Source organism: Homo sapiens, chromosome 9 (assembly GCF_000001405.40).
Source record: "Homo sapiens chromosome 9, GRCh38.p14 Primary Assembly".
NCBI lineage: Eukaryota > Metazoa > Chordata > Mammalia > Primates > Hominidae > Homo > Homo sapiens.
In genome coordinates this window covers 37,904,344-37,912,836 of record NC_000009.12, presented here as the reverse complement: position 1 = coordinate 37,912,836, position 8,493 = coordinate 37,904,344, and the positions used below count along the sequence as shown (strand labels likewise).

General features: G+C 48.3%; 1 pseudogene; it reads right to left on the bottom strand.

Annotated features, from left to right (window-relative positions):
- Nucleotides 402–8,493, bottom strand: part of PAICSP1 (phosphoribosylaminoimidazole carboxylase, phosphoribosylaminoimidazole succinocarboxamide synthetase pseudogene 1) — a 34,374-nt pseudogene continuing 26,282 nt past the window's right edge.

Here is an 8,493-nt window from a genome sequence, read left to right as displayed (position 1 = left end):
AGGCTGAGGCAGGAGAATCGCTTGAACCCAGGAGGCGGAGGAGCCAAGATCGGGCCACTGCACTCCAGCCTGGGTGACAGAGCAAGACTCTGTCTCAAAAAAAAAAATTTTTTTTTACTTGTATTAGTAATGGAAATTTGTATTTCAGGAAAACATAAAGAAGAAAATAAAAATTACCCTAAACTCAAAGAACAGTACATTCACGTTCTGAAGTATCACCTCAGTCTTTTTCTCTATGCACATATATAATTATTTTAAATTAAAATTGGGCTCAAGCCATGTTTACATAGTTCTATAGCCTCCATCTTCTGCTTAACACAGTGTCGTGTCCCTTTTCCTCTGTTATTAAATCTCCTACAATATGATCTTTTTTTAAATAGCTGTATCGTATTTTCTACCTAAATTTTTTTTTTTTTAAAAAACAGAGTTTCACTCTTGTCGCCCAGGCTGGAGTGCAGTGGCATGATCTCAGCTCACTGCAACCTCTGCCTCCTAGGTTCAAGCGATTCTCCTGCCGCAGCCTCCCAAGTAGCTGGGATTACAGGCGCCTACCACCATGCCCAGCTACTTTTTGTATTTTTAGTAGACATGGGGTTTCACCATGTTGGCCAGGCTGGTCTGGAACTCCTGACCTCAAATGATCCGCCTGCCTTGGCCTCCCAAAGTGCTGGGATTACAGGCGTGAGCCACTGCACCTGGCCTCTACCTTAATTTAACTTATTCAAATTTTTGTATAACCAGCTCTGCAGGGAATTGTTCAGAAATCTTTATCCATATTTCTGGTTTTTTTGTAAGGAGAAATTAATAGACGGGGCATTATGAGGTCAAAGGTTAGGTACATCTTCAAGACTTCCTGTCCTCCAGAGATGCGTCAGTTCCTCTTCCACTGCTGTGTCCGGGAGTGCCCCCACAGAAAAGCTGTCCTGTTACCTTTAAAGACTTTTAGCAACTTGGACCTTGCCTAAAACATGAGGCACACTGTAAGTAGCTTTTCTCTTCAGGGACAGCATGAATTCAGGCTACCCATGGGGTTGGACAGGAGACTGGGCTCTGCATGTAGGGTGAGTAGTTGTCCCTATAAGAGAAGCTTTTCAGGGTGCAGGACTCTGAGGGCTAACACCAGGATGGTCCCAGCAAGCCGGAACAGTTGTCCTTTTACCCCAAGGGCAAGCCCCTTACCTCCCATTCAGTAGACCCTCCCTCTGCCCCTGTGAGAGAGCCAGGGTCAGGGGCTGGAGCTGGGGCTGGGGAAACCCAGAGAAGCTCAGAAGGAGCCCTGCCCTCCTCAGGTCCAGGACGCAGGTGAGCAGAGAAACAGCCATCACCCAGGGGGAACTTAGTCTAATTCCGTCCCTTTCCAGCTGTGTGACCTGGGCAAACTGCAAAAGCTTCCGCTTCCTCTGCTGCAAAGTAACACAAAACCAGCAGCCTCACAGGGTTGCTGCAAAGATTACACGCGGTGTTGAATGACTGCCCTTAGCAAGGCTTAGCGTCATCAACCTTCAGAGGTCAGCTAGGATGAGAACAAAGTGTGATGGCAGAGGCCAGTGTAGCCACAGGATTTCAAAGCAAAGAGGGTCTAGGGTGCCAGAAAGGCTTCCTGTGGGAGGCAAGAAGTGGAGTCTATTTTATAAATAAAAAATGCTCCAGCCTCACTGGACATCTCCTGAAGTTGAGACCACAGCTCTTAAGATCTTCTTCCTCTCCAGCTGGACGTCCCAGAGCAGTGCTCACAGAGTTCTCTCCATCCCCTTTCTCAGCATCCTCTAACATCCCATCTTTCTCTGTTATTTAAATTAATTCTAACACACTATAGTTATTATCTAAATAATAAGCATCTGTTGGCCAGGAGCGGTGGCTCATGCCTGTAATCCCAACACTTTGGGAGGCCGAGGCAGGTGGATCACATGAGGTCAGGAGTTTGAGACCAGCCTGGCCAACATGGCGAAACCCTGTCTCTACTAAAAATAGAAAAATTAGCCAGGTGTGGTGGCAGATGCCTGTAATCCCAGCTACTTGGGAGGCTGAGGCAGGAGAATCGCTTAAACCTGGGAGGCGGAGGTTGCAGTGAGCCAGCATGGCACCACTGCACTCCAGCTTCGGCAACAGAAAAAAAAAAAAGCATCTGTTTTGTTTACTATTTAAATAATTACATTTATTTATGTCAATGTTGAACCTATTTATTGTCTTATTGTTTAAATGTTAAATCTGTGCAGCAGCTTTATTCTTTAAATATTAAACATGTATTGTGTTCATTATCTATTGTCTGTCTCCAACCCCTAGAACGGAACCAGAATGCAGACTCCACACAAGCAGGGATCTAGGACAGCTGCTGGCATACAGTAGGTGCTCAATAAGTATTTGTTAGCTGAAGTAACAATGATAAAAGATCCTATCTGTGGCGGGTTTACTCTATGTGCGCCTCACATTGTACATGCATTGGTCTCCCACAATGGGAGTCCTGCTGTGCAGATGAGAAACTGAAGTTCAGGCCTGGTGTGGTGGCTCATGTCTGTAATCCAAGTACTTTGGGAGGCCGAGGAGGGAGGAGCATTTGAGTTCAGGAGTTCAAGACCAGCCTGGGCAACATGGAGAAAAACCCATCTCTACAAAAAAAAAAAAAAAATACAAAAATTAGCCAGGTGTGGTACTGCACACCTGTAGTCCCAGCTACTTGGGAGGCTGAAGTGGGAAGATCACTTGAGCCCAGGAAGTGGAGACTGCAGTGAACTGAGATCTTGCCACTGCACTTCAGCTTGGGCAACACAGGGAGGCCCTGTCTCAAAATAAACAGGCCGGGCATGGTGGCTCACGTCTGTAATCCCAGTATTTTGGGAGGCCAAGGCGGGCGGATCACTTGAGGTCAGGAGTTCAAGACCAGCCTGGCCAACGTGGTGAAACCCCCCTCTCTACTAAAAATACAAAAATTAGCCAGGCATGGTGGCAGGTGCCTATAGTCCCAGTTACTTGGGAGACTGAGGCAGGAGAAGTGCTTGAACCCAGGAGGTGGAGGTTGCAGTGGGCAGGGATTTCGCCACTGTACTCCAGCCTGGGCAACAGAGCGAGACTCCGTCTCAAAAAATAAAATAAAAATAAAAAATAAACAAAAGAAGTAAACAAAATATATCAGAAAAGAAAAACTGAGGTTCAGAAAGGTGAAGCGATGCTAGGAAAAGCAGAAGTTGGATTCAGTGGTGGAGGCCCAGGGGGAGGTCATAGCCCAGAGGTGAATGGGATCTAGAGAGAAATTGCATGGTCCCTTCTGCCCCAAGGACAAGAGAGAAGGGTGGCATTTTGTGTCCCTGAGCACCACTGCCCCCTCTATACCGGAAGGAGGATGAGCTTCCATCGCACTGGATCTGCCATCATGGGGAACCTCCCTCAGGGTCTTGGAACATGGTCACCAGGAAGGACCCTCATCCTGTAGATGGAGATATTGAGGCTGGTGTGGGGCTATCCAGTGACATCACTAGGAAGTGGTGGATCAAGGATGCAAACCCAAGTATTCTGACCTTGCAGCATGCTACATTGAGTTCAGTGTTTCCCAACTAGCCTCACCTAAGGTTTACACATGGTTCTTATAAAAATACAAATTCCTAGGACCTCTGCTTGGAGATTTTTATTCAGGAGGTCTTGGGTCAGCCCTGGAAGCCGATATTTTTCACAAGTTCCCCATGGGTGTCTTATGATGAGGGAGCTCAGGAGATACTCCCCTGGGGTCAAGGCCAGGCTGCCCACCGCCCTGCAGCTCACCATCCATCTGGGCCTTTGAACAAGTGCCAGGAAAAAGGAAAGCATCAACTATCACACTGCGCATTTGTGGCTAGCTCCATCCCCCAAAACAATAGGAGTGGCAGAGTCCCAGCCTCACCTCTTACTGGGTACATAGCTCAGATAGGTCATGGGACTTCTTTGAGGACACAAAGTATGTGAAAATCTGAGGAAATGACATATCGTGTGGCTGCTTGGGAAACCCACACAGTATTGTGCAACTGCTTCTTGTTTCATTGACTTGGCCCTTGGTAGGTAAAAATGTATTTGTATTTCACAAGTATGTGTCACTCAGACAACAAGTAAGGTGTCCCTGACCTTACCCAGAGGTCACCAATCTTTCTGAGCTCTGGGACTTATCAGGGGGCATAAACTTTGCCTGCTGGTGTGCTGGGAGAAAAAGCCGGGGTACCGAAATGATGATAGGGAAAAAGCCACCTGGTGTCTTCCTTCTTATACGCTTTTTCTCATCCCATGTTTTTTCTGGAACCCACCTTATTTGAATCCTAGCTTTCCTTTACAGATCACCTTTCCCAAGTAGCCTTCCCTGATTGCAGCTGGTACAACTTCCCTCTCCTATCAACACTCAGAGCACTTGGTATGTGCGGCTCTCAAGCAATGCTGATAATTTTCCTTAGGACTGTTTCCCCTCTGAGCTACAGGCTCATTCACTTACACATTCCTGAGCCCTGTAGGACCCTGTGTTTCAAACCACAGGTCACTATAATGGGTCAGGATGTCAATTTAAAGCTATAATTTCCCAAAATTGCCTGAGAAGAATCAGCCAGGGCTAGCGTTAAATATACACAGGCCAACTGGCCTCTCTCCTGGGGATTCTAATTTAGTCTGTCTTGGAACTGATTATATATATATATCATATATATCATATTTGTGTATATATCGTATGTGTGTATACATCATGTGTGTATATATATCATATGTGTGTATATATCATGTGTGTATATATCTATCATATATGTGTGTGTATATATCATATGTGTGTGTGTGTGTATATATATCATATATATATATATATATGTTGGGTTTTTTTGAGTTAGGGTCTAACTCTGTCTCCCAGGCTGGAGTGCAGTGGTATGATCACAGCTCACTGCAGCCTCAACCTCCCAGACTTAAGCAATCCTCCTGCCTCAGCCTCCCAGGTAGCTGGGACTACAGATGTGTGCCACCACGCCTGGCTAATTATTTTATTGTTTATAGACAGGGTCTCACTGTGTTGCCCAGGCTGGTCTCAAACTCAAGTGATCCTCCTGCCTCAGCCTCCCAAAGTTCTGGGATTACAGACATGAGACAGATCTATTTTTTAACCAGACCTCTAGGACCTAGAATCTAGGTCAATGCTTTTCAATCTGTAATGTGCACACAGCACACCTGGTGAACTTGTTAAATACCAATCCTGGTTTACTGGGGCCAGAATTCTGCATTTCTAACACATTTCTGGGTGACTCAGTGCTGGTGCTGTCCCTAAGTGTATGGCCCATAGGTAGTTTGCCCAAATTCAAGAGATTCTTGTCTTCAGGCACATTGGGGAAGCAAGAATTGAGCACTGTTGTTCTCAACCTCAGCACACCTGGGAAGCTTTTAGACTATACTAAGGTTCAGGTCCCACTGCAAACCAATTAAATCAGAACCTCTGGGGCAGGGGAATGGGGCCGGGGAGTGGGGCGGGGGGTGGCTGTTGTTTTGTTTTCAAAGCTTCCCAGATGATTCTAATGTGAAACAGGGCTAAGAATCACTGATTCAGTGGGGCCCCACCACCATTAAAATGAATGAATGAATAAACTGAAGAGAACAAACAATCTCCCAGGCTGGCAGGGTAAACCCTGGGTCTCTGTTATATGTTATTAATACAGATGCACGTGAGTTGCTGGATCAGAGCAGGTTTGGACATGAATGAAGCAGAAAGGGAGAAGGTCCTGGAGTTCACAGACCAGCCATGGGGACAGACTGCAAGGACCTGAGGTGGGGGCAAGGGAGGGTGGGGCTGACAGCACTGAGGGGCTCTGCAGCAGGACGTAGTGAGTTCAGATGGGGCAGCAGTGACCAGAAGCCTCTGAACTGAGCCATGCAGGAGGAACAGGACATTGTTATGAAGCAAGCAAGACCTTTTAGGCACAGAGGACAAAAAATACCCAAGCGTTGGGGGACGTGAAAAGAATGCAGCAAGTTCAGGGAAGGGAACACCAAGGGGCTGGCTGGCCCTTGGCCATTTGGTACTGGGGGTGTGAAGGGGAGTGGCAGAGATAGTCACTCACAGTAGCTGATACTCCACTGACAGCTTGCGTAAGGCTGTTTTCGTGCACCTAAGAGCCAATGAAGTCTGAGGGCACCAGACAACCTTCTAGAAAGCATTTTTTGAGGGGAGGAGTGGAGGGTGATTAAGCAAAGATCCACCAGCAACCTTCTTATGGCCCTTTCCCCCAGGAACCCAGGCCCTGCCTTCCAACAGCTCTGCTCTCCACCCGCATTTCATTTCGGCAAACATCTCCTAGGCGCCCTTTTTGCCAAGCACTGAGTTGGAGAGCCAGGAAAAAGCCAGACAGCTCTGCCCTCATGAGCTGGCGGTGGGAAAGATCACACTGTCATGAGTGACTACAACATAGGACAGGATGTCAGAAGCGCCCCAAACTTTGGGGCATGGGAAGGCAGGGGCAAGGACAGTCAATTTTGCCTGAGATGATCAGGGAAGCCTTCTAGGAGGGAGAGGAGGCAAAAGGACCTTGAAGGGCTATTTGGTGAAGGGCTAACATGTATCAGTGGTGAAAGGGGGAAACAGGCTTAAGGAACACAGGATTTGCAAAACACTGAGACTGCATATGGCTAAAGCACAGAATATAGTTGGGGTTGAGGTGGACAGACTGGCAAAAGGGCCAGGACAGGACAGCCCCGTGCACCGAGTTAAGGAGTTTGGATTTACTGGGGGAACCAAGAGGGAACCAAGGGGGAACCATTGGAGATTTTTAAGCTGCGGGATGACATGATCACAGCTGGGTTGGAGGATATCTGGCAGCTGACCTAGTGGTTGGAGGTATGGAATGCAGGAATGGGTGGATGAGGACAGAAATGAAGGGCTAACTTTAAGATGGATCTGGTATCCAAAAATAGAGGGTTTTCATCCCCAACATTCATATGCCCAAGAAGAGCCAATGAAGGGCCTGGGGGTTTCTGACAAGGAACTAAGAGCTGGAGGGGCAGAGGACTGTGCTGTGGCCTGCAGCAGCATAAAAGAAGCAGACTGGGCTCAGCTCCAGACCTCAGTTTTCCCGTTAGCCTGGGATTTTCTGAGTCTGGTGTGCCCCAATTGTGTGTTTAATTTCAGTCTTTTCCTTCTTGTTCAGGTTTTACCGCAGGAGAATAACCTCTCCATTCTAATCTGAAATTAATTATTTATGCTTATGAACACGCTGGATGCCTGCCTGGTTTATTTATTTTTCAAATAATGCATCTGAATAGGCATTCACACAAGACAGGGCAAACATAATTTTGAGGCAAAGGCCCTTTCCAACTGTTGCCCGATTAACTGTTCTAAGCCATTGTGTAGCCTTGTCCTTATCCTGCGGAGTCCAAAATTTATCCCTCGCGTACTAATTAGATGGCAGGTGTCTGTGTCTGACAGTCAAGATTCGCATTATCCAGCCCCACCACCTGACCCTTACAATCTTATCTCCTGCTGCTATGACTTTCTCCACTGGGCCAAATTCCACTCATCCATCCTCCAAGGCCCAGTTCAAACGTCTGCTCTGTGAAGCCATCTCTGGTTCTCCCTCGAGGGGGGAGGTCCCCTCATGCTTCTGAATTTCCAGTCTTTTGTTGTTGTATCCTTCATCAGACGCTAAGCTCCCCAGGACCTGGCACGCAGTAGGTTCCTCAATGGAGCGTTTGCTGGAATGGGGGAGGGTGGTCTCCAGCTTCCCGAGAGGCACCTAAGCACGCCAGCCAAAGTGGGGCTGGGCAGAGACCAGACCCGCTTTTGGAGTCAGTGTCTACAAAGTGCTCTCGGGGGAAGGGGGCACGCGGGGAACGTCGCCCACCCGGAGCCGATCCCCCCAAGAACGCTTCACTCGGGTGGGGTTACTGCTTGGGCTCGCCCCAAGCACAGTGCGCACACTTCACACATCCGCAAGCCTCCTGAAACGCCTCTCCCCTCAGGCCGACCTTTCTGTTTCCTTCAACGCCTCCCATCTGTTGTGTGCGTTCCAGTTTCCAACTCAGAGTCAGAACCATCATTTCCAAAGACTCCTGCAACAGCCCGAGGACGCATACAAGGCATGGGTTACTTTTCAGACGGAGATTTGGGGCTCAGGGTCCAGCGACTCACCCAAGGTCACTCTCAAGAAGTATGAGGGCTATGACTTTGACCCAAGCCTTCTAACTCCCCGGGCAGCGCTCCTCCCAAGCCCCCCGCAAGCTGTCTGAGCTTCAAAGGAAAAAGTTTAAAAGTGATCCATACGTCCCAAAGCACGCACAAAGCGTTCTTCTGTAAACTGCGGCATGGGTCGCTGATAAAAGGTCCCTCTGAAGGTTTGAAGATACTCAACAAGGCTCCACAGAGGGTACTTTGGAGTTTTCCGCGAAGGCGCTCGCCCCGCAGAACCGACAAGGCCCCTAAAACCGACAATGCCCAGACGCCCCCTGCAGGCAGCGCGCTAGAGAACGCGTTGGCTGTTTCTGGCACGCTGAGGCCACCGTACGGCATCAAGGGTG